At 42.6% G+C, this 26,573-nt stretch overlaps 1 protein-coding gene across 14 annotated transcripts in view; it reads right to left on the bottom strand.

The window, feature by feature from the left end:
• Nucleotides 1-26,573, bottom strand: part of GRIA1 (glutamate ionotropic receptor AMPA type subunit 1) — a 324,255-nt gene that overhangs the window by 91,673 nt on the left and 206,009 nt on the right. For all 14 annotated transcript variants that reach the window (NR_157093.2, NR_047578.2, XM_047417128.1 and 11 more), the window contains 3 exons: nt 24,043-24,153; nt 23,124-23,330; nt 16,130-16,500 (listed from right to left, as the gene is read on the bottom strand). Coding sequence is in view for 12 of the 14 variants with exons in the window: in XM_047417128.1 (XP_047273084.1) it covers nt 16,130-16,500; nt 23,124-23,330; nt 24,043-24,153 (689 nt within the window). In the remaining 2 variants the exon portion in view is untranslated. The remainder of the gene's footprint in view (nt 1-16,129; nt 16,501-23,123; nt 23,331-24,042; nt 24,154-26,573) is intronic.

The raw sequence follows: 26,573 nt of genomic DNA, 5'->3' as shown, positions 1-26,573 counted from the left end.
GAATACTTGTACAACAATAAGAAAAGAACAGATGACCTAACAGAAAAGTGACCAAGAGACTTACAAAAGTACTTTATAAAAGAGGATAGCTACTCAAATGGCTAACAAATATGAAAGAAGTACTAGTTGCCAGGGAAATGCAAATTAAAACCATAATGTGATCCTACAACTCATCTACTTGCTAAAAGGAAAAGGGCAAATGTGGAGCAACTGGAACTCATATACATTGCTGATGAGTCTAAATCTGTATGCTACTTCTGAAAACAGTTTGGTAGCATCTACAATAGAAAATATATATAAGTTGACCCAGGAATTCCACTCCTAGTTATGCATCCAACAGAAATACACATACCAAAAGACTTTTACAAGAATCTTCACAGCAGCCCTATTTATAATGGCCTTACACTGGGAACAACCCAAATGTTCATCCAGAAAGAATGAATAAATAAATTGTGGTATATCCACAAAATGGAATACTATAAAATAATGAGAATGAATGAACTACAACTATATGTGATACATGGATGAAGGTCACAATATAATATTGGGCAAAAAGAGCCAGACACAAAAAATAGATACTATATAATTCTATTCAGTAGATTCAAAAACAGTTCAATTCATAAAACTACTCTATGCATCAGAAATCAGGGGAGCGGCTACTCCTGTCATGGGAGAAGTGTGAAGGAGACAAAAAGAGTTACCTGAGATTCTTGATATCATCTATTTCTTAATTTGAGTGCTGATTACACAGGCACTGAAAATTAGTTTTCTGAAAATTAGTTGGGCTGTATATTTATAATTCGTGTCTTATTTATTTGTGTGTTATATCTTAATAAAATTTATAAAAAGAAAATAAATTGTGTGTCAAAGGGGGAAGATGTGGGGAAACTTCACTCCTATCTATACCTTTGTTTGCTCAATGTGTTATCTTAAATTTAAGAGGAAAGAGTCCATTAAGTAAAAAAAGAGGTTGAAGTTAAATAAAAACAAGCATCACCATGAATATGAATCTGCTGTGTGTAAGTAAGAAAATTCCCTTTTCCCTGTCTGAGTTTTGTTGTAACATATATGGTAAAATGTAAGAAGCCTTAGCTTACTAGGGAAGGCTGATATATTTGCTTCTGGTTTAATCATGTGTCTCCCCTTTTTCCCATCCGAGTCAGATGGAGATGAGGACTGACCTTCTACCAATGTCTATCTCTCCTATCTGCATCACCCGTGGATGGCACTTGGGGCCCAGGATACACCTGAACTTTGTAAGTTCACTGTTTCATGTGTGTTAGTCTTATCTTCCTAATGAGACTATACACATCATAAAAGGAAAGACTTGGTGTTCCTTATTTCTATGTATTCTTTATGGTACTAAGGAGAATACAGAACTGGCCATGAGGGCTCAGGAAACACCTTCCTTTGTAGAATGTCAGATCATTCGAAGTGTGAAACCTGAGGCCTGAGAAGAAAAGTGACTTACCCATGGGCACATAGCCACAGTTGTATCTTCTGACTCCTGTCCTTGTCTAGCCAGGCTCTCTACACAGCCTTGATAAAGAAATACACACCATGACCCATTCATTCTGTTCCTCTTGGCCTTACTTCTCAGGTGGATATGCAAAGGCACAGCAACTCAATGTTGCTAGCTTTAACTGTTCTGTCCTACTGACTACATTGAGCAAACATTGCCTAAACATGGAGACTCTGGGCGTGGGATGGAGGAGCAGTTTACATAGTCTCAAAAAGACAGAGGCAGTGACTGGGCTTATTTTAGTGTTCAGATCTCTTGAAGGGTTTCCTGTGGCAAAATAAGAATGCACCAAGAACTAATGCTCCTCCTGTCTCTTTTCATTTGCCTCCAAGGCTTATGATGATGTTCAAGGTCCTACATAACCTGAAAGGTGTTGAAGTCTAAACATTAGTCCTTTAAAAAATTGCTTATTGTTTGTTAAGGGTCACTTGAGCTATTTTCAATAAAAATGCTTCATCCAAGCCTAGATTATAAAATGCTCGATGCTAACTTTACCGGCTATGTGAACTTCTTCAACCTTAGTTTCCCAAAGTATAATATGAGATGATGAGATAAGAAACTATATGTATTTTAAGACCCCATTCTATAGACTCATTAAGGAACTAATGTTTTGATTAATTAGCTTAAAAGTAATCACTGGTGTCTATTGTGGACACAAAAAATTAATAAACACTGACTACATGGAATACTAATAATCACTGACTATAAATGCCATATAGTCCTCTACTTGGAGAGAGAGAGCACATGCCTTTTATTGAGCACTTATTACATGTCAGCACCATGCTAAGCCCTTTAAATACCTTATTCCATTCGATCTTCATAATGATTCCACAATATATAATCCTTATTTTATATATAAAGTATGGCAGATTGTATTTTCCAAAGATGGTCACAATACCCCTACCCCCTCCATTCCACACCTTACAATGCGATGCTGACCCTTCTCTTACTGAAAGGTGGAATCTATGTTCCTTCTCTTTTAATCTGGTTGGGGTTGTGACAATGGCAGAAGTCACACTATGTCATTTTTGAGGGTAGGTTATGAAAGGTGATACAGCTTCTGCCTGCTTCTTTTTGGGACACTTGTTCTTGGAACCCAGCCATCGTGCTGTGAGGAAGCCCACAGAGGAGCCAGGAGAGGGCACGTGTAGGTATTCAGGCCAAAAGCCTCGGCTGCCAGACACGTAAAGGAGGGAGTAAGCCCTCAGATAATTCCTCCCCCCAGCTGTCAAGTTATCCACAGTCTTCTAGATTTTCCATCGAAGGCTCCAGATACAAGCAGAGACAAGTCATCCATGGTGCCCCTTTCCAAATTTCCTGACCCATGAAATCCATGATCTTAATAAAATAACTGTTATTTTTTGTCATGAGTTTGGAGTGGTTTGTTATACAGCAATAGTGGTAGAGGCTCTGACACGAAAACCTAGTTGCCCAGAATCACAAAGAAAATTAGTGTAAGAGGCAGAACTAAGCCCAGGCCTAACTCCAGAGCCCACGCTCTTAGCTGCTCTGTTGAGAAAGCCCTGCATATTTACAATTCCTGCAAAGCCAATATCCATCACTCTTGAGATGTAAAGAAAAATGAACCTAATGCTGACCTCAAAGAAACAAAACCAGGTGCTCAGGAGAGCAGGAACGGACTTGTGGACAGTCTGGTTTGGCAGGGAAGGGTCACTGCCAGAGAAATGAGTAACACTAGCAAAGTGGGCAGGTGTGTGGATTCAGTTCCTATCCAATAACTGAGCTGAGAAATAACACTGGGATGGGATGAGTGATGCTGCCAATATCCTCCAGTCATAACACTGCATCTGGCAGCCTTCCTCCTCCTGCTGGAAATAGCCTCTGGACTTTCCTCTGGCCAGAGGTGGGCCAGCAGCACAGCCAGATAAGGAGATGCCTGTCAGTGAGTCTCAGAAAGCTCTTAGCAGGGAATAAATGATTGGTGGGGGACCAGGGATAGGGTGGGAAGGAAGTGAGGTGATTAACATAATGGAAGGGAAAGAAAATCAAGATTTTTGAGGCTCTGGTATGTGCTAGGTACTAGGTCTCTGTTTGCTCATGTATTCTCATAATGATTCTGTGATATTGGTATGAATGGACCTTTTTTCAAATTTGAGGAAACTGAGACTCAATGGTTAACCTACTGGTTCAAGTCTGAAAGCTTAGTAGCTGCTGGAGCTAGGATCCAAACCCAGGTTTGTCTGAATAATGGGATCCTTGGCCTCAAAACACAGTCATCTCCCCTTCTTTGCTTGACTCGCCCCGCCGACCCCTTTGTCTTACCTGTAATTCCTCCTATAAGTCTTGCTTAATCCCTTGGGACCAGCCCAAGTTTCTCCTTTTCCATAAGCCAGCCCAGATCATTTTAGTCCTCAGTGATCTTTCTCTCTTCTTTACCTATTGACTATTAACCCCACTTTTGGGAATTATTCAAAAGCATGTTCTGCTTTATTATCTATTTTTCTCCTTGAATACCTTGGTTCTTCTACTGTGTCGCAAACTTAGAGGTCTGAACTCACTTCTTGCTTCTTTAAATCTGCCATAATGCTTAGTTAGCCTTGTGCCTAATGCAAGGTTTAGATCCCAGGTGGTGCTCAATTTAAAACATCGGAGTGATGACTCCTTTCTTGTATCTGTAGAAATACATGTCTGCAATAGCCAGAACCAAAATAAAGCAAACTCCCTCTCTATTGATTTTTTTTCCATTCCCAAAATGAGACGTGAAAGAGAAAATGAATCTCAGGGGGGTCCCCAGCCAGGAAGACATTTTTCTAACAGCCTCTTCTACCTGCTGCTCAGGAGATAAAGATAAATAATAACCTGGCAGCAGCGGTGGCCAGTGGGTTCCCCCAAGTGCCCAGCCAGGACCCTTTGAATCCCAGAAGTTAGAATGTGGCTGGCAAAGTTCCATGCATGGTGGACTAAGTCTTAACACCAATCAACAAAGGTGCTCCACAGGAAGTTGAGAGCTACTTCCTAGAGCTCTTCCTGATGGCAGCTGAAGAAGTGGTCCAACATTACCTATTTTACACTCTGTGTGTTTCTAAGGTGACACTTTAATAGCCTCATAGCAGGGTACAGGGCCCCAAAAGTCATGGTATTGGGTTTATCATTAAACTTGGTGAACTCTGAGCCCTTGCCAATGAATACCTAGGAAGGATCTTGATTGACAGGTAGCATGGCTCAACCCACCTTGCTGAGCTATGGTACCTGTCAATCAAGATTCTTTCTAGGTATTCATTGGTATTGGCTCCCTCCCTTACGTGTCTCCCTATCCACCTTAGTGCGCTTGCTCACGATCATCCTCCAGCAGGGATTCCCTCCTCATTTCTCTTTGCTTCTGTGGAAAAATCTTATTTCATCTTTCAAGGCACCATTCATTGCTTCCCAGAAGTCTCTGTTCACCTTAGCCCACACGAATTTTTCCTTTCGTAGAAGAACTCTAGCACTGATTCTATGAAGTACGTGTAACAAAGGGTTTTGTGCAACCCTTGGTTATACATTTCCCTAGTTCCTGTGTTCCAGGGAGGCAGCATGTGGCAGTGAAAAGAGCCTGTAATTTGGATCAGCAAGACCATAACCCACGACTTCCCAGTTCTGTGACCCTGAAGATCTCTAGGTCGTAGCACAACCATTATTGTTCATCCTCCTCAACAGCCGCTTCCTGTTCCTTTGGCATGATGGGCTGGCATTTCTTTCACCAGCTTTCTACTGATGGACACTAAGCCATCTCCTGCTTTTTAAAACAGTGAAACGAATGTCCTTACGCACACATCTTATCACATTTGCACGATCATTTCTATAGGACAAATGGAATTTACCCATAGGATAAATAGATTCCAGATCTCTCTCACAGTCACAATTTTAAGGTCACTTCTGACTCTATTTCCTCATTTTCTCCCCATTTATCCTTCCTACTTAAAGTGCTACAGTTAACAACATGCCCTCTCCAGCTTTGGCTGTGACTATGGAATGTCCCACAGTCCCTTCCCAGCTGAAGCTGACTTTCCAAAGTGGCACCAGTTACATTTTTGCTCATATTTCTGTCTCACCATCTCCCTCACTCCAGCTGAGCAGGCTGCACCTGATCTTGGTGGGGGCAAAATGTTCTCCTGGGTGCTCGCCTCTGCTCCCTCAGGAGATGGCTCTTAAAGACAAAGATACTCTTAGGAATAATAAAAATTGAATAAAAATTCAAAGCAAGGCCCATTAAAAAAACCAGAGTTAGGGAATCCTATAAAGGAAAAAGGATGTCTCCCACTTTTTAAAAAATTATAACAATCCCTGGGGAGCCCTAAGGGACCTTCAGAAGATTGTTGGTCTTGGAAGACAGCTGTGTGTCAAGGATAAATCATGGGTATTAGAATCAGACTGACACAGGTTATAATCTCAGCCCTGCTGGGTACCCACATGCAAGTGAATTAATTTCTCTGAGCCCCAGTTTTCTCATCACAAAATGGTGTTGATATACCAGGCAGAGTTTTCAAGAAGATTAGCAGTAACATGATCTAACACTTGTCAGAGTGCCTGACACATAGTAGGTACAACACATGAAAGAAAGAAATTTTTGCTACTATTTTTCCAGCAAAGAGATCAGAGCTTTCCTGAATAGTGGGGTAGCTGGCAACATTAGGATGACAAGGTAACTTTATTTTCTGGTTCCTTTTATTTCTTTATCTCCAATTCTTCCCACTTCTTCTCCAAATCCATTCAGGGACCAGGACTGAGTTGCCCTGTGTTACACAGGTAGTTAGTGACAGCTGGAAATTCTCCCTATTAGCCGATTTTCTCTTGATTAAATGAAAAACAGGACAGAGTCCTTAGCTATTGTGAAGATGGACATTCAACAAACATATGTTGAGTATTTAGAACATACAACCCCTCATGTCAGGTTTTGAATAAGTTGTAGAAATGAGTCTACCAGTCTCAATAAGAAACAGACATGGTAACTATAGTGCAGGGTTGAAGATTTAAGATGCCCTCAGAGAGGTGTAGGTGACAGCAACAATGGCAACAGCAGCAATAACAACAGCATTTACAGTGTGTCACCCCCGTGCAAGGCAAATGTTTTCCATGAATCTCATCATTTAATCCTCAAAATATCTCATTTGAGGTAGGTCTTATTATTTTTCCTGTTTTCCAGAAGTGGAAACTGGATGTAGGAAAGTTATTTTCTAAAGCTCACACAGCTAGTAGGTAGTAGAGTCAGAATTCAATCCCAGCCGGCCCTGCTGCAGAGTTCAAGCTTATAACTATGACTATAAATCACAGATTCAGAGGAGTAATTGGAGTTGGTTGGGGGAGAGTGAGAAGGCAACATTTGCAAATGGGGAAGGAGTTGAGCAGGAAAGGTGGGAAAAGTCACTCCAAGCAGAGGGAACAATAAAGGCATAATGGGAGCATGGAGCTGGGAGACAGAATGAAGCACAACTTGGCTTGGTTGGAGCCTTGGCTAAGCTGGGAATCATAAGGAGGTGAGCCTTAGGTGGGGAGCTAGGGACATACTAGAGACCATCTTACTTCCATTTTGCAGAGGAAAAAGTGAGACACACAGAGAGAAAGTGACTCATCCAGTGGGTTAGTAGTAGCTGAGATTGAGCTTCTTTTTAAATTCCTTTACCACCTCCTCCATCCCTTGTGACAACAGCTGGTCCTACTTCTGCCTTTGGGTGGGACTCCACTCTGCTTTAGCAGGCAATATGCCTCCTTATTTTGAGGCCGTTTCTCCTTCAGCCACTAGATGCAAACAGTGACTGTCATCAGCTAGGTTTGTGGTTTCTATTAGTGTTCTTGACACCATTTATTTTCTGCTGGGTGTCTTGGACTTAATTCACCTATTATCTCCGTTGGACATAGCTAGAGGTAAAAGCATATGTAAGTGGTGTAGCAAAAATGATTCATTCACCACGGTTGGATGGTGGTACCTAACTCATATTCAAAACCATCAGGCTCCCCATAGGGGTTTCAGCATACTTTCCTCGTCAATTCAATTAGTTATGCTTTCATTTTTTTCTGTCTAGAGCTCAATACTTCTTTGCAGGTGAACAACTGGGTTTCTTGGTCACAGATGCCATATATCCAGTGAGGGTTTAAAAGAAAAACAAGAGGTCGTCTCTGGGAAAATGCAGAACCTACGAAGATGTAGCTAGCCATAAATAGGTTTCTCTGGATACAGGAATTTAGGGACCATCTTTCTTTTAGTGCAGCCACCATTTATGGTCTGGATTTTCCAAAGTGTATGAAAGGAAAGAAAAATACAGCAATCAGATTTCATGCTTGGAATCAAAAATGGAGGGGAAAAGGAGAAAAATTCCCTTAAAAATGTATATATAAATACGATATTCCAAGTGTGTCTAAATGCAGTAAGTACATACGGTGGCTGTTTTATTCCTCACCATTCTTTTAGGGCTCTCAAACTGGTGGCGTACAAGCTGAATCTAGGCATGCTTTTGTTTGGTCTGCATGGAGTTCCCATGGCAATGACTATCCAGAGCCGAGGGGGAGCTATCCTCTCTAGCTGACACATGCATGTGCCGTTCACCACAGCCCCCGGCTGACTTCCACTCCTATGCTATTGAACCTACACTAATTATCTGTGTGATTTTGGCTATGTCCCTTCCTCTCCCTGTCACCCAGAATCCTCGCCTATCGAATTGGGATGGCCATGTTAATCACATTTTTATTTTATTTATTGCCTGCCTCTTCTCTCTGGAATGCAAGCTCCAGGAGAGTAGGAGCTTTTGTCTGCTATGTTCTGTGATGTCTCTCACAGTACCTTGAACAATGTTTGTTAAATAACAGTTGCTAAAGAAACACTTAATGAATAAATAAATGAATAATTGGTCCTCAATATCCCTTTCAGCTCTGTGAAAAACTTTCTGAAAATTTTCCTATTGTAATTTTGGAGAAAACAAATCTCTCCGTCAATTAAAATGTTCAAAGTATAAACTTCCAGAACAATCTAGAGACAGCAATTATGCTTCCCCCTTGCTGATGGCCAGAACTGCAGGCTGAGACACAGAAAATGATGGTTTCATTTGCATATCCAGTGAAGGCTTTTATTCTCCTGTCACTGCACTCATTTTAACATTTCCATGCTGCCTTTGGAGCTTGTGAAACTTCTACTCTTCTTCTCAAAGGTCTGTAAAACTGCTCAGTAGCAGAACCTGGTTCTGGGTCTCACCATCAGGTAGCAGAAGATTAAAATGGAAAAAGTAGGAGCCACTGATCTGGAGTTCCACACCCTATCTCCCATGATGGGGGCCACCCCCACACAGTCCATGCACACTTCACACCTGCCATGACTGCAGAATCACCTCACCTGGGCCAGTCCCTTTGTGTTGGTGTTGCTTGCTAATGGAGAGGAAAAAACTGTCAAGGTGAAATATGCTGGTGAAACCCTTGGTAAGTTCCTCTTGCTGGCTTGGCCTGCAGAAGGCAGGGTCATCAGGACAGCCAGGCCCCTGCTTTGAAGGCCACAGTCAACACTCCTGTGCCAAGGGCCTCGCTCACCCAGCATGTAACATACTATAGGGTAGTGAGCTGGCGGACCCTGGGCTCCATGTTTACGGCTTTTGACTCAATATCAAACTCAATGTTGACTCAGCATCATTTCTAGCTGCCATATGGGCCTTGCTTTCTGTACTTTTAAGCTGACTTCTCTGGGCAGCACCCTAGTTCAATGACTTCCAAACTTTAATCCCATCAGCCCTGGGGCAGAAGTGGGTGGGGAGGCTTGTGAAACATGTAGAACTTTCTCTCCAACTGCAGAGTTTCAAATTCTAGAGAGCTGAAATGAAGTCTGAGAACCTGCATTTGGACAAACATCCCAGGTAATTCTGACGCAGAGGGTCCCAGCAGAAACCCCCATGCCTAGTCCCAAGACCCAGATTAGCTATCGCACATTTCCTGCTCATCATTTTTGACACATCCTTGTGACACTGTTCCTTGTAGAAATGAACCTGTGGCCTAAATGACGTTTGCATTTTCAAAATGAGAAATGTTTGACAATTTCAGGCTGCCTTCATCAACTTGCCTCAATATTTACTCTCAGGCTCTTTCTCTTCCCCACAATACTACAGTGACATCAAGAAGAGCAAGAGAAATGGGTTTGCACAGCTCTTGCTGGGATGGGAGGACAGAGAGCAGGAGGGGGAAAGAGGGGAAAGAGGAAGGTTTCTCATAGACTCTCAGTGCCAAAGGCATACTGGTTACTATGAAACTTGTATGTGAATGCAAAGGTCAGGCTATCGTTGGTTATTGGCTTGGGCTGTCCTCATTGGCCACCATCTTCCTACCGTGAGTCAGTTAAAAGGCCCTCAACAAGGCTGGGCACAGTGGCTCATGCCTGTAATCCCAGCACTTTGGGAGTCTGAGGTGGGCAGATCGCAAGGTCAGGAGTTCAAGACCAGCCTGGCCAACATGGTGAAACCCCATCTCTACTAAAAATACAACAATTAGCTGGGCATGGTGGCACACGCCTGTAATGCCAGCTACTGGGGAGGCTGAGGCATGAGAATTGCTTGAACCCGGGAGGTGGAGGTTACAGTGAACCGAGATCATGCCATTGCACTCCAGCTCTGGGCAACAGAGCAAGACTCGGTCTTGGAAAAAATAAATAAATAAATAAATTAGTGGAGGGAGGAGGTTATGATATCAGGCTCCAGGAGACCTCCAAAGCACCATCACTCCCCCCGCCTTAGACTTCTTCTCCTGAGAGTAATTATCTCCACTAGGTGGAGACAATTATTACACATTCCAATTCAGTCTATGATCAAGAATAAAAGAGAGAATTCTGAAAGCTAAAGTCATAATTTCCCATTTTCCTCCATTCTCCTAGCACCCTCTAACCTCCTCTCATTCTCTTACTAAGGTCACCTGAACCCAGGAAAATATTGATGCCATGGAGAAGCCATTGGGAAAGTGGGGCCATGGGTGTAATAAGCTGAAGAAGCTCACTCTCAGTTCATTTGAAGGCAATGGAGCCTTGGGCTGAGACTACACAGTAGGGTAGCATTGGACTGGGCACCAATCAGCCATAGGTATCGCCTGGGTGATCTTAGATAAAATGTCTTTCCCTCCCTCTCTGGCCTCAGTTTCCTCATGTGTAACATGGGGTGGGTAGACTAGAGCATCCTATTGATCCTGCCCAGAGCTAATAGTCCCTGGAACTGTGGTTCCCTGTTTTCCAAATGCTTCCTCCCTCTTGGACTCACCCTTGATTCCTCCCCCTCCTCATCCTCATAGATCCAATCCATCAGCAAGTCCTGTCAATTCTAGTCTCAGAGTGAACCATAAATCCATGTCGATGACCATCATTCTAATTTCCATCACTGTAATTTCCTCAGGATGGCTATGAGAGACTCTTGTTTGGTCCCTCTGCTTCCACTCTGGACTCTTCTCTGCCGCAATTCATTTTCCTCATAGCTCCCCAGAGTGGTATTTTAGCATGCAAATCAATCCTTCCCTTGCTTAAAACCCTCCAATGGTCTTCCATTGCATTTAAAATAAAACATCAAATTTAAAATGTGACCACAGGGCCCTGCGCAGGCCTCTGCTTCTTCCTCCAATCTTATCTCAAACCTCCGTTCTCTTGATTCACTGTAAGCCAGACATACTTGTCACTCCTCCAGTCCTTGAGAGCAGTAAACTCCTTTTCACCTGAGAACCTTTGCATATGGCTATTTATGTCTCTTAGCTTTATACAAGTCTAGCTCATTCTTACCCATCAGCTCCTCAGAGAAACCTTCTCAGAACACTCTAAGTAAGGCTTGTTTAATTCCACTTCTTGTATTATCTATTGCAACAGCAGGTTCATTTTATTCATAGCACATCCCAACTTACACATTCACGATAATTTGTTTAATGTCTCTCATATCTCTATACTGCCAGCTCCTTGAAGCAAAGGCTCCTGCCCTCCACACTCCATCACCAATATATCTTCATATCCTCAGCACTTAGAACCATACCCTGCATGTCGTAGGCAGTTAGCAATATCTGTTGAATAAATGAATGATCTTGACCACACACATGGGGAAATGGATCAGAAATGAAAGTTGAAGGTACTAAAGATAAGTTTTGTCTGTGATGATTTTTATTCCTTCTTTAACATACTCCTCAAAATCTAAAATATCTATTAAAAATAGGTCTTTGGGCTGGGCACAGTGGCTCATGTCTGCAATCCCAGCACTTCAGGAGGCCAAGGTAGGCAGATCACTTGGGTTCAGGGGTTCAAGACCAGCTTGGGCAGCATAGGGAAACCTCAACTATACAAAAAATACAAAAATTAGCTGGGTGTGGAGGCTTGTGCCTGTAGTCCCAGCTACTCAGGAGGCTGAGGTAGGAGGATGGCTTGAGCCCAGAAGGTCAAGGCTGCAGTGAGCTGAGATTGCACCACTACACTCCAGCTGGGGTGACTGAGTTAAAAAAAAAAGTTGTTTTTTTTTTTTTGAACAAGAAGCAGGCTTAAAAGTAAATTCATGGGTCCCTTTTTAATCTCACCATCAACCTAATTAAAAAAATAAATTGTAATCTGTGATCATAGCTGAAGTGATTTTTAACTTTCACTGTTAAAATGGGTTATACAAAACCAATTTATTGAATATACATTTCAAAGGGTGGGTGGAGGAGTCTTTAAAGCATTTCAGTAGCATTCGCTGGCATACACCATTGACTGTGCTAATTCTGGATTATTTCTATCTATTCCTGGTGCCAGTGCAGAAAACATTGATTTTAGGCACAGTGGCCAATACTGCCAGTTGATTCCCCCAATATCGATTCCTACCCTGCCTACTCTAGAGGTTGGAAAACCTAAATTCTTGCCTTCTCAGCCTCTCTTGCCACTAGAAATAATCATGGCCACTGTCCTGACCAATGAGAAAGAAGCAGACATCTGTGTGGGGTGGAGAGTATTTTGTTAAGCTTTTGTTCTTCTGATCCAAAAAGACAGAAATAGAAGGCAACACTTTTTTTCCTTCATGCTGTTTGAACATGGACACAATATTTGGGAACCGCCATCTTATGAACAAGAAGAAAAGGCCAAGATAATTTACAGAATGGCCAATCTGGATTTCACCACAAGCCACTACCTGCTACCACTTTTCTTATATGTGAGAAAGATAACCCTCTTTACTGGGTTATCTTTGTCTTTACCATATTACTATGGTCAGGTTTTGATGTTATTTGCAGACAATTACACTTAGCCACATTTTGTTGGTTTTGGTTACTAGACATTAACATCAACTTTGAAGAGATTAGAAAGAGTTAAAGCTACTTGTGGATAAGTGCAGATATATGCAATTCAGATGAAATTGATTTCCCCAAATACTAAATTAGGAAGGGTTTATGACATTTTCTTTAAATAAGCAGCAAGATCAGTTAATTGAAGCTCATTTGGAAGGATGTTTGATGAATGTCAGCTTTAAAAGCCCCTTCTACTGCAGCACCCAGAGTGTCTAACATAGTGCTGTGCATATCAGAAGGTCATGAAACTTACTGACTTCATCAGGAAATATATAAACAACAATGACAACAAAAGTTTCTACTGATGTTTTTCATTGTCTTCTTAGTCTCTAACTTTGATCATTGTCTTAGCATCCTTGTGTTTTTGTCTGGTTCAAGGTAAGATGAAGTATATGTCTCTTCTCTTCTACATATATTTCCAAGAAACATTTTAATACATTCTCACTCTCTCAAGGGAGATTTTACAGGCTCCTAAACTCTGGGGTTAACCAAGGTTGGCTTGATTAAAAAAAGTCCATCTCAAGTGGATCAAAGTTCTAACTTCCTTTGGCAGTTCACTCTTGTGTCTGTCAGACCTTTCAGCCAAAGTCACCAACCCTTCCTCCCAGTTCCTATGAGGAGGAGTCTTAGGAATCCAGATGTGGCTGGTCTCTGGCATAAACCACTGGCTATTTCTGCTTTGTTAATGGACTTCTCTAGAAGAAGGTATTAGGCTTTCAAATCAGTGTGAACAGTGGCATCGTTTCTTCCAGTGAAGTTTAGACAAAATCCAAGTTAAAAAAAATCAATTAACATAATAAAAAAAGCATCCAGTTATAGCGCTTCCTGTGTGAAGGCTGGGTACTGTGTTATAGGATCTATACATACTTCTAAACTTTCCAACAAGATTTGAGGTAGAAACTATTATTTCCATTTTATTAATGAAAAAGAGGCATAGAGTAGAGTTGTTTTATGAAAATCAGGGAGGAGGGAGGCTGGATATGTTGTTCAGTCTCCTCTTCACCTCAATGTCAACTCCTATGATACCCTAGTGGAACCCTCAGAAGTCCGGAAAGCATAGTTTGAAAATCCTCTTGCAGCCAGAGGTCACAAACTCAAACACCCTCTGGGGCCAGCTGAGTAACACAGGAACAAAGAAGGTCAGGTTGGGGCTGGGGTGAACCGTGAATGCGCGGACCTGTTCAAGAGGGAAGCTACCACTCAGTTTTGGGTAACCATTGCCAAATTCTGTACAGATTAAACAAAAACCTGTCTGACAGAAGATTCAGTTTATGGACCACAAGATTGAAACCCCTGGAGGAATAGTGGGGAGAAAGAAAACACACCCTGAGATCACAGCATAAAGGTTCTGTGAAAAGATGAGATGCTCACTGATGAAGGAAATAAAGGAGAAAAAACAAGTTCATGGGTCTTCTCTGACACCTGCATGTTGTGATGGCCCTACATTATGCTGACTAGTTAGGAATTGTTTCTTCCCACTGTTTATCCACGGGCCTGATTTATTTTTAAGCAAGCCCTTCCCCTGCTTGGTTCTCTCTACTCTTCACCATGTGTTTGCCAGTATTGGCCAAGCAGCCAGTCTCACACCTCCTCTCCCACGCGCCCCCCACCCCCCACTGTCTTCTTATTTAAAGAAAAACAAGATTATAATGAACGATGAGACTTTCTAAGTTATACAGCAGGCCAAATAAGTCCTGAGGGAAGCTTGTTAGAAAGAATTTACTCCATTGCCGCTTAGGAATATTGGTCCTCCTTGACAATGAAATGCAAAACGTAGATAGGTGGTAAAGATGCCTCCAGCACATGTCTATGAGACCTTGATATTATGCACTTATGCCTCCAGATCTGTCCATGGAGGCCAAATTCTGAGCCATGACTCCCTGTAGGCTTTTGAAATTTGGTAATCTAAGAGAGTGCCTACTGGAAAAAGAGTTCATAGACATTAAGCAACTGTAAAAGGAAATAGAGTCAGTGCTTATTTATCAGGCAAATTGGTGGGGAATTGTGGCATGCACATCCAGAATGTAGTCAGAAGAACAGGAGGTCAGTAAATGTGGACTTGGTCTAGATTGGCAGGTTTCCTACCTTCCTCACCCCCATCTCCTGTCCACCCTTTCTCTTTTCTTAGCTTCAGTCACTTTTTTTTCCCAAAATAAATTGTGTTCACAAGTCCAATATATAAAACAGACAAAAATGGAGCCATTCTGATTCCATGTGGGGGGCTAAAATCCCACTGATTTGGTTACCCGAGTGTGCTTTCAATGTGATATCTGAGGCACCTCTGAGAAATTCCATTTTTTTCTTCTTTTTTTTTAAAGACAGAGTCTCACTCTGTCACCCAGGCTGGAGTGCAGTGGCATGATCTTGCCTCACTGCAACCTCTGCCTCCCGGGTTCAAGTGACCCTCCTACCTCAACCTCCTGAAATAGCTGGAATTACGGGCACCTGCCACCACATCCAGCTAATTTATTATTATTATTGTTTTATTATTTTTTATTTTTAGTAGAGACAGGGTTTCACCATGTTGGCCAGGCTGGTCTCGAACTCCTGATCTCAAGTAATCCACCTGCCTTGGCCTCCCAAAGTGCTAGGATTACAGGCGTGAGCCACCACGCCTGGCCTGAAATTCCACTTTTTAATTACAAGAAACAAATTTCCATCATCACTGGAACTAGATTATTTCCAGAGTCTTTCTCAGAACCAAAGAAAAGGAGAAGTTTTTTCTCTTTAAGATGAAGACGCCAACATCTACTAGGGTGAGGTGACTTTCTGAGAGCCGCATAAAGGGCCCATGTGCTAGAACCAGTGCTAGAACTTACTCATAATCCAGTGCTCTTCCCACCATGCAGAAATAGGAAAGGACAGCATTCTGAATCTCAACTCACTTGCCTACTAGCTGTGTAACATTGGCAAGATATTCAACATTTCTGTGGTTCCTCATTTGTAAAAAGAGACATGATGGGAGTACCACCTTATGTTCCTGTAAGGACTCAATGAGATAAGGCATGTACAGGACTCAGAACCTTGCTTGGCATTTGGTAGGTGCTCCATAAGTGTTAGTTGTACCACACAATGCTCCCTTCTTTCCTCTGTACCTTTCAGCTACAACGCATCAGTCATAATTATGCCTATTAACCTTGACAGAGCACATCAACCCAGAGAGCAGACAGAGATGGCCCAGCTACAGGATGATCCAGATAATCCACAGCGTGCAATGGACAGTTGATTGTAAAGAATAGTTGAAAAACTGAATACAGTGGTCTGAAATAATTCATCTCTTTACTTTTCAGTATTTAAAAAACAAACAAACAAACAAACAAACAAAACCATAGCATTAGGCAAAGGGATTGAGAAGAGCTGACTGACCTGGGAGAAATGTCACATCCTTGCTGCATGAAGGCTCCCAGGGAGAACCACAAACTGTTGAATATCCCAAACTCATTGGACTGGTCACTGGTTGTCTGGTCCCGTCCTTCCTCAAACTCTTCACTGTGCCATTCATAGGGACTGAAGCGGCTGACCAGGAAGAGGACAACACTCACTCCAATGTAGGCAAAAACAATGCACATCCAAATCTCATAAGCCAAAGGATCAAGGAAGGAGAAGACACCCGGCTTGGATTTCTGTGGTTTTTTAATCATGATGGAGATCCCCAAACTCATAAATGGTTTGGAGAAATCTATAACTTCTTCCCGGACCAAAGTGATAGTTAAGGGAGCCACAGCCACATCTGCTCTCTGAAAAAAAAAAAAAAAAAAAAAAAAAAAAAAATGCAGGTGAGCTCAGCAGCCCTTTTCATTCTCTTGTTTTTCTTCTCATTGTGACTATTCTTTTGTGTCTTAAAGGATATGAGAGTGGGAAAGAACCTTTGAAGTCCAACCCCTCCTACTCTATAAAATATTTTTGATGAATGGATGGTCAGCTCAATATCTTACAAGAGATTTTCTAGTTATTTGACTGTTCTAAATGTTAGAGGCATCTTCCTCATACTACAAGAAGGAAGCTGTTGTGGTATCTGTTGTTTTTGCCTGCTCAGCAGCCCCACTCCCTTCCTCTGGCAGGAGAACCATTCTTGCCCCACTCTCAATCCTGCAGGTTGGAATGGGTCTGATCACTCTGGCTACATGGGGAAGCAGGTGACCCAGGTCCCGGTCAATCCATGTACCCCACTACCCTGGCCAGAATCATCCATTCAGGGATGACATAGGACTCAAATGGGTTTAGTGAGAATTAGTCCTGAGAGATGCAGAGGATGACCCCTTATGTCATAATTCAGGCAACTGTAAATTCAGGGCTTACCCTGGATTCCCTCAGAATCTGTGTCAATACATCCCTCTGTATTGACACAGAGGAATCCAAGAACATGAGACAATGTGTCAGTTTGCCTAAGTCAGTTTGAATTGGGTTTCTTTTTCCTGCAACCAAGATAGTCCTGAGTAAAGGTCAATTTAACTCAATAGATATTTATTGAACACTTACTATGTGCAATCTGCAGGCTGAAAGTTGTAGGTAGACTATGGTCCCCACCCTCAGGAAATTACAAATTAGGAGACATTGAAACACACAAACAATTTTCCAATCTACAAGGTGGAAGGGGTATGTGTTATCCAAGATATACAGAGTTCTGCCAGAGACCAGGGAGGGATTCATTCTGGCTGCGGAGATAGGGGACTGCATCTTGGAAGAGGTGGCATATAAAGTTGGCATTGAAAGAGGGGTAGGACTTTGACAGGTTGCTCTGGCATGGAACAGCATTCCAGGAGGAGGGAACCATGGGAATAATAGCCTGTGATGAAAAGGTAAAGTAGTATTGCAGTCATTTTCTTCTTCAGGAAGAAGTCTAAGAAATACATATATAATACAGTTTTTAAATTTCAAATCCAGCATGCAGATAAACATAAAAAGGTTGCAAGAAATATTCATCCTTAGGCACCCAGCACATGGAATCACCAACCATGCCTTGTTCTCCTGTCTTTCCTACCTCTCTCCAATGGCAGAAGCACTGGCATCTACTCAACAGAAATCCACTGCTCCTGTTGGCCTGAGATCAAGAGATCCTGGAAACCTAAGAGGATTTCCATGGAGAGATGCCATAGCATTCATTTCTGAGATGAGAGACATGCCTATGCAGGTCTGTTCAAGGCAAATGGCTTTCTCTTATGCTGTACAACAGCCCAGAAGTGAAGCTGGTGACAGATGCTATGCAGGTCAGGGTGCTGACCACCCACCAGTTGGCTGTTGCTTAGAGATTTCCTCTGGTTACTTTCATTGTCTGGGATTATTGAGAAGGTGCTTTAAGTGGAATAGAAAGCCTGGCTTCAGGATGAATTAAGTTTTCACTTGTAGAAAGAAACTTTCCATTAATTAATGTGAAGTCAGGTGTAAATTTCATAGCAATTCTGTTTTTTCCCCTAATACCCACTGCATAAATCTTGGTAATTTTTACAAATACAAGACAGTACAGGGGAGAAGGTATTTACTTTTTTGTTTGTAAACCAACAGAAAAAGAATGGGGGAGACAAGTAATGGAAATGACTTGGAGGGATTGACCACAAGTTATCCGGAAGGGAGGTGGATGAAGACCAGCTCTGAAAGGGGTAAATGATATTGCATGGATTTGTTGGATGCTTCCTAATGTGATTTAATAAGAGATCATAGACTGGAAATCATTGATCCATATTGCCTTTTCTTTTTTTGAGACAGGGTCTTGCCCTGTTCCCCAGGTTGGAGTGCAGTGGTGTGATCTTGGCTCTGCAACCTCTGTCTCCTGGGTTCAAGCAATGCTCATGCCTCAGCCTCCTAAGTAGCTGGGATTACAGGGATGTGCCACAATGCCCAGCTAATTTTTGTATTTTTAGTAGAGGTTTCGCCATGTTGGCCAAGCTGGTCTCAAACTCCTGGCCTCAAGTGATCTGCCTGCCTTAGCCTCCCAAAGTGCTGGGATTACAGGTGTGAGCCACCATACCCAGCCTGTTCCGTATTGTCCTAAAGCTTAGTTCATTTTGTAGTTCAAAAATTTGTTCAATAGAACATTATTTCTGGAAGGATGGTTAATAACATGAAAATAACATAAAAATAAACATGCTTGGGGCAGAACTTCCCAGAACCTTTAGATGACCACAATGCACTGAGAATTTCCAAGAGGAGTAAGTAGAATGTGGCATTTCCAAAACTATTTGGCCATGGGTCATTCATCTTCCTAAGCATCAAGAGGTACCCATGTATGTAAGATACACACATACTGGGAGATGCTAAGTTCAACTACTTCATTTTACAGATAAGAAACTCATATCTAGAGAGGGAAGGTGGTTTGTGAAAAGCAGTAGTATTTTAGCTTGGTTAATATTGACTGAGAGGCCTCAGAAGTTGATTTCCACCACCAATAACTGAGGTTCTCACTGGAGCTTCACTGGGTAGTGGAGGGCACAGCGGATCTCAGACCGGGCTGCTCTTCTCTGCAACTGGCTGATTGTGTAGCCTCAAAAGAAACAGTTGTCTTTTTGGATGTCAATTTCCTCATTTTAAAAGCAGGCATAATAATTCTTGTTTCACCAATTTCACAGGCTTGTTTTGTGAGGGTCAAGATAATTCAAAATACATGAGAGTACTGTGAAATGTGAGCAGTCAAAATTATTTTCTTAAACTGACATCTTAGGACAATGGCTCTCAAACTTGAGTGTGCAGCAGAATCACCAGGAGGGCTTTTAAAGACACACACGCCAGAGTTTCTAGATTCAGTGGGCCTGGGGTGAGATGTGAACATCTGCATTTCTAATAGGTTCCCAGGTGGTGCTAATGCTATTGGTCCAAAGACCACACCTCTAGAATCACTGACCTAGCAGATCCCAAAACAAAATACGTGATGTCTAGAAACTATCCTGGGAAAACAGCATATAGTTTTCATGTGGTAGAAAAAAGCATAAAGTGAATAAAACTATCAGAAATGGAGATCTGCTCTGAGCCAGGCCCTGCATAAATGAATATTCCCCATCACAGCCTGTGGTAAAGAATTCACGTTCCTTGTTTCACAGGGGTGGCCCCGGAAAAGTCGGGGCCAGCAAGTTGGCAGAGTTGGAACTCAAATCCAGGTGTCTGTCTGCAAAGCTCACTCTCTTTCTGCTTTACCAAGACAAAGGACAGACAGTAAAGACAGCTGTGAAGGAGGCACCAAGATATACCATGTGAGGAGCAGAAACTTCATTTGCAGCATATGGCATCTGCAAATGCAGACATTTGCTGTTCTCTCAGTTAATATTGGTTTTACCGCCTAGCATTTGGATGGTGGGATTTCTACAGAGGCAGTATGTCCCAGTGTGGAGTACAAAAGCCAGAGCTGCATGTTCTGACTCTGCTTTCACTAGCTGTGTTTCCTTTGCCAAATTATCTAACCTAGAGGGCCTCAGTGTCCTCATCTATAAAATGTAAACAGTAATCTTACCCACCTCATGAAGTCGATATGCAGAGTAAATGAAAGAATGTGAGTAAAGTATTCAACATAGCACCTGGCACACGCTACACGATGAAATGTGACTACTATCATTATTGACGGAAAAAGAGGGAGCAAAAGGAAGATAAGAGAGAGCCTGATCGACTTAGTTATTTAGAAAGCCACAGAAAGAATAAATTTGGAAGCCTCCAAATGAATTTTTCTTGATCTCTGGTGGTTGGTGGTTGAGAGATGCTTCTCCAAATCACTTGGTTCTTCCCCAAGGGAACAGAAAAGGAAAGCCAAACTAAAAAGAAAGGCTGAGCATCCGACTGGGGCCATCACAGAGTCTTCAGAACATAGTATTTTTTTTTTTTTTTTTTTTTTTGAGACGGGTCTCGCTTTGTCGCCCAGGCTGGAGTACAGCGGCACCATCTTGGCTCATTGCAAGCTCCGCCTCCCAGGTTCACGCCATTCTCCTGCCTTAACTACTCAGCTCCCGAATTCCTAGGACTACAGGCGCCCACTACCATGCCCGGCTAATTTTTTGTATTCTTAGTAGAGATGGGGTTTCACTGTGTTAGCCAGGATGGTCTAGATCTCCTGACCTCGTGATCCACCCGCCTCAGCCTCCCAAAGTGCTGGGATTACAGGCATGAGCCACCGCACCTGGTCAGAACAGTTTTTACTGGGCAGAGGAACAGGCCTGATAAGGAGGAGGCTACTGAGGCAGGCCTGGCTGCTGAGGCACCCATAGGTAACTCCAGCTGGCCTGAGCCCTGCTGTGCCAGTGACTCACCACCAGCTGTGTTGGCTACTGGGGATGATCCTGGCATTGTTCTGCCCACACTGCAGACTTTTAACCAAGCAAACCACATTACATGAGGTGAAGGTGAAGATAAATGCTAGAGAAGGTGAAAAGTGCACAGCAGTTGCCATGGGGATGACCTTAAGAGCTTGATGGGAGTTCCCATGGAAACCAGCCTCCAGCTGCAGCATGTACTATCCAGGTCTCTACCTTTTGTCCATGGAGCTTCCCAAAGTGAGAGGTGGTAAAGGGAATAAGAAAGGAGAGAAGCACATCCCATTCCCCAACTCAATAACCACCTTCACATGTCATCTCAAAAGCTACCTCCCTGAGGAAGATTTCCTTTATTCCATCTTTTTCTTCTTTGAATTCCCTTTGTATGTCTCTCAGGGCCATCATGGCTCCTCTTGCCCTGATATGAAACAAGATTTATCATCTTCCTCAGTGGCTGCTTGTCCTTATGAGCACTTAACATTGACCTGGGGCTTGGCATGTGTTTTAGTTTCTATGAGTGAAGCCGTGGTGGTCCCTTCCCTGCACAAGGCAGCTGGAGGCTTCTTCCATTGCCTTTTGTTGTCTTTCTACTCAAATACCTTCGTGATCTCCCAATGCCCACTGAATCATCCACACTCTTCCTCTTGCTATTTTTTACTCATATGTATCCCTGACTACTCTTCAACCCAAGTCCTCAACAAAAACCATGCGTTTTCTCATTCTCCTCTCACACCTTACTTATTTCCACCACCATCCTATTGTTTATACTTTAAAAATTCCTGGGCTGCTTTTCTCTCATATGTTTTTTATTATCATTTTTGAGACAGAGTTTCGCTCTTGTCTCCCAGGCTGGAGTGCGATGGCATGGTCTTGGCTCACTGCAACCTCTATCTCCTTGGTTCAAGTGATTCTCCTGCCTCAGCCTCCCAAGGAGCTGGGATTACAGGTGCCCGCCACCATGTGCAGCTAATTTTTGTATTTTTGGTAGAGATGGGGTTTCACCATGTTGGCCAGGCTAGTCTCAAATTCCTGACCTCAGGTGATCCACCTGCCTCGGCCTCCCAAGGTGCTGGGATTATAGGCGTGAGCCACTGTGCCCGGCCTCTCGGTCTGTTTAAATATGGTCATTTTTCAAGTTTCACATCCCCACTGAGGGCTAGACAAACTCTAGTTAGCCCTTAGCTGAGCCATACAATATAGACTCCTTATTCTATACTACCTTTTACTATTTTCTCACATTGTCTTTTCTACCCCATAAAATGTTAAAAGATGGGGTCTTTTCTACCTCATAAAGTATTAAGCAAAAGATCAAATCTTTTGCTTCTCAATAATTCCCCAAATGCTTAAAACAATGTGGGACATTCAGCAGCTTTTCAAAACTGCTGTAATTTATTGAAGATTTTATAGCAATTGTGCATGGAGTTATTTCAAGTGTGGTGAGCACTATAAAGATAGAATAGTCCTACCCCTGTTACACAGGTAACCGTTATATAAGGCAGGGTAAACCATTAAAAAAAACCAGCAACTAAATTCTATAGGGGAAGGCGAGAACAATTAAAAGGCACATTCATACCTATTATGAGAAGAAAGAAAGAAACACACCCTGAAAAAAGTATTATTTGATATAGGTTTTGAAGGAGTAGTATCTTAGGGGTGGAGAGTGGAAGGGAGCACTCTAGGGAACAGAGTAATTAAGGGGCATTTGACTGAATTGGAAATTTCATGAGAGAGCATGAAACTAGAGAGGCAAGTAACTAGAAAGTTAGGTTGGCTCCAGATGCATTTAATATCAGAGAAGAAACTGATACTGAGAGAGCCACAAGTGACTTTGTATAGACAACTCAGCAGTCTGCCTCAAGAAAATTGATCTTGGAGCTATGCTGTCACCTGTGTTGGACGACAATCAACTGACGTCACAAGACTCTGAGTGGGATTGAGGGACCTGGGACCAGTAACCTGAACAAAGAGTGTCTGAAGAAATTGGATTTTGGATGACTCATCTGTTCAGCAGCAACAACACTCAATTACAGGGTTTCATAGACATCTGTGGGCAGGGCCACCCAACCACCAAATGATTTCCTGTCAAACCCTCTGCCTCCGCCCTCTAATTTCCCACCCTGCAGTGAACTTACTCCATAGACCAGCTCTCCCACCATGCCATTCCAGGCCTTCGTGTCAGGGTCTCGGGCTCCGTATTTTCCATCACTGACAATCTCCAGACGGTAGGAGTAGCCCACGTGCTTGGCAATCTCTGCCGCCAGCTCTACACAGTAGCCCTCGTAACGGTCATTGCCCTCAAACTGATTGGCGTTCTTCTTGAGCATCACATAAGGATCTTCCTGGAAGAGAAATGGGGAGATAGCAGAATGTGGGTTATGGGTTCACCCATGGGTAGGGAGGACTTTGGCATAGCATAATATCATGTTTGGTTAACACTGGGGAAGGCTCTCTAGCCCCTCAATTCACTTCCTAAATGTCTTCACTCCCTACCCCATTACAAGCTTCTTGTGTTAAGGAAGCAAACTTTGTTAAAATAAGAATGTTTTATCACTGAGATATGGCATACAGCTTTTCAAATTATGTTCCAGGATATTTTGTATTTTTTTTGGAAATACCTCTGGGGTCATCTTGAAGGAGAAATAGACCCTAAACAGGCTCCAGGTTTCTCATGATCAGTCACTGAAAATTACAGCATCTTCACTTACAGCTACTTTATGTATTGGACTTTCTTTGAAAATAGCTTCTACTGAGGGAGGACAGATGAAAACCAGCACAATTTAGTGTCATTCTTATGTTTTAAATATGGGAAAGCTGGCTCAAGAGAAAGTAAGTAAGTTACCCAAGGGTACAAAGGATGAGACAGTGAAACTAAGAGATACAGAGTGAAAACTCAGAGCCTCTCATTTTCAGGGCATTCCCTTTTCGACTTGCTGCTTTTATCTATTACACAGTTTTGGCAAGAAGAAAGGCCAGCTTTCAGTCCTGGTGGAAAACCCTTGTGCTGGCCTAGCTTGAATCCCAAGTAACCTTGATGAAGGACTGAGTACTCACTAGGATTGTTGTGACGATGTATGTTCTGTTCTGAACACTTGAATTATCGCCCCCAGCTTGGGCATCGGTGGCTGCAGGGACAAACTTATCATCTTCATTCCAGTAACCAATCTGTTAATGAGAAGAGAGTGGAGGTGTCAGGTGGGCCAGCCTCCTCTGAACTGGCCTGCTCTGGGTCACCCAGTCAATACCAGAGACAGGCAAGTAAGGAGCTCATGAAGAATTGGACACACCGAGCTCTAAAATATTGGTAAACAGAAATAATAAGAAGCACAGTGCTTTTCAGGTGCCCCCAATTTTGCTCCCAGGGAAAATCCCCACAATAATTGGTTCAGTTTGGAAATTGCCACCTCTGAGGGATAAGGGCTTAACTGTTTACACAGCCAGTCTGTTTTGTACAATGCAAGCCAGGACCATGGGATTTAATTCCCTGCAGTTGTTCACAGGGTCAAACCCCTCTTTCCCCCATGTCTACTAACCCTGCACTTCAGTGAACTCATTCTGAACTATAGTTGGAATCATATGATTTAAACATTACATTCTTTTACTTTATTTTTAGGTTAACTGTATTTTTCCATCTAGATTTAACTTCCTATGATGGTTGTTTATCCTTTATTTTTAAAAATTTCTTCTGTCTCCAAGTATAAACTATTACAATATTGAATATATAGGAGTGTCTAAAAATTATGGTTGACAATATTAATTTTTCAAATTTGAGTAGGTTATTTATACTAATTCATTTTCCAAGGTCTTTCAAGAAATATTAATTGAACTGCTATTGTGCACAAGGCTCTGAGCTAAAACATTAGTGTTGCTTGTTGTCAGGCAGGGTTGACGAGATGCAAAGAAGTCTGAGAGATAGGGCTTGCTCTGAGAACGCCTCTGGTCTACCATGGGAAGACATGACATGGCCGCAGAAGTGACAAGTGAGTGGGCCTAAGGAGTTCAGAGAAGCAAAAGCCAAGTGTGGGATCTTACACAGGGAAAAATGCAACAGGAGGAATCAGGGCTTATGATCATGAGAGATGAATGGTCTGGACCAAAACCTTTCAGGTTAGGGAGAATATGAGCCAAGATATGAAGACAGGAATCTGCCCAGATGTTTAAGTTCTGTGGGTCCTGGGTGGAAGATAGAGTTAGCCCAAAAGGGCAGTAGGTATCTGGGTATAGGTAGCAGATGGCTTTGAAGGCCAGGCTAAGCAGTGTAGACTACACCTCAAGGCAACAGGGGATCATTGAAAGTTTGGAAACAGTAGAATGACTTGACTAATACACACACACACACACACACATACACACCCTAAAGCTATACCTCCTATACTTATCTCTCTTTATCTCTGTCTCTAATCTCTATTTGCTTTAGACAATTGTGTTTTGTTTTGTGATCATTCTGCTGGCTCTAGATACAAAGGAAAAAGGAAAGAGAACTAGAAGTGCATATGCATTGGGATGAACAGGTCTATCAACAGCCAGAACTCAGCATAGGCTCACAAAAACTGAGGCATTTGCCAAATGGTCAGCTGAAATGTCACCTTCACCTTCATGTCTTTCCCAGTTCCTTCAGTTGGAAATAGTTTTTCCTGTAATCTCGCAGCCATTAACAACAATAATTGCCAGCACTAATGATGCTCTTGCTATGTCAGAGGCTAAGTGTTCAACAGTTTTCATGCCATTTCGTCTGGCCTGTGGGAGTGTGTTAACTTGCCCGAGGTGAAGTAGCTGCAAAGTGGTTGAGCTTGTCCTGGAACCCTGACAATCTCTCTCCAGAGGCTGCATTTAGCCACTATGCTGTTCTTCCTAAGAAGGGATTGGGCTCTGGACTTGAAATCATATTAGTTATCATTTACTGAATGCTTGCATTTCAGGGACTTTTTAAAGTGCTTTTTATGTTTTAACTCCTTTCATCCTCACAAAACCTGCGAAGTGGGTAGTTAATTATCCTTTCAATTTTAAGTATGCAGAAAGCGAGACGTGGAAAGTGAAGTAACTTTCCCAAGGCCACAGGGTAGCCGTGGAGCCAGGATATGAGCCAGGGAGACCAACTCCAGGGACGTGCCCCCTGCATGCCAGACACAACCCTGAGTACCTTGTGTACGTTCCCATTAGAACACTGGGTCTAGCTGTTTGTGTGTCTGTCCCCATCTCTCCATGGTGCTATGAGTTTCTCATGGACAAGACTGAAATAAACATACTTGTTCCAGAGTTCCTGTCTTAGTCTAGAACATCTTTTCCCAGAGAAGCAGCTCAGGAAATGTTTGTGGACAGAATGAATGCATCCAGGCAGCAGTGACCCAGCATGGACATGGTGCACCCTATCGATGCTGAGACAGCTCGGAGGTCTGACGGGGAGCATGTCTCTCAGGATACTGCATGGAGGCTTACCCTCAGTGCAGGCATGTGTACCATGTTCCCTGTGAGGGATGCTGTTAGTCAAGGTGGAAGGAGACATTGCTTTCTAATGACAGAAGAACCAGAAACTCACGTTTCTAGAATGTCAGAACTGGAAGGGGACTGAAGAATCATTTTGTCCA

This window comes from Homo sapiens, chromosome 5, assembly GCF_000001405.40.
Source record: "Homo sapiens chromosome 5, GRCh38.p14 Primary Assembly".
In the NCBI taxonomy this organism is placed as follows: domain Eukaryota; kingdom Metazoa; phylum Chordata; class Mammalia; order Primates; family Hominidae; genus Homo; species Homo sapiens.
This window is presented reverse-complemented; position numbering and strand designations above follow the sequence as displayed.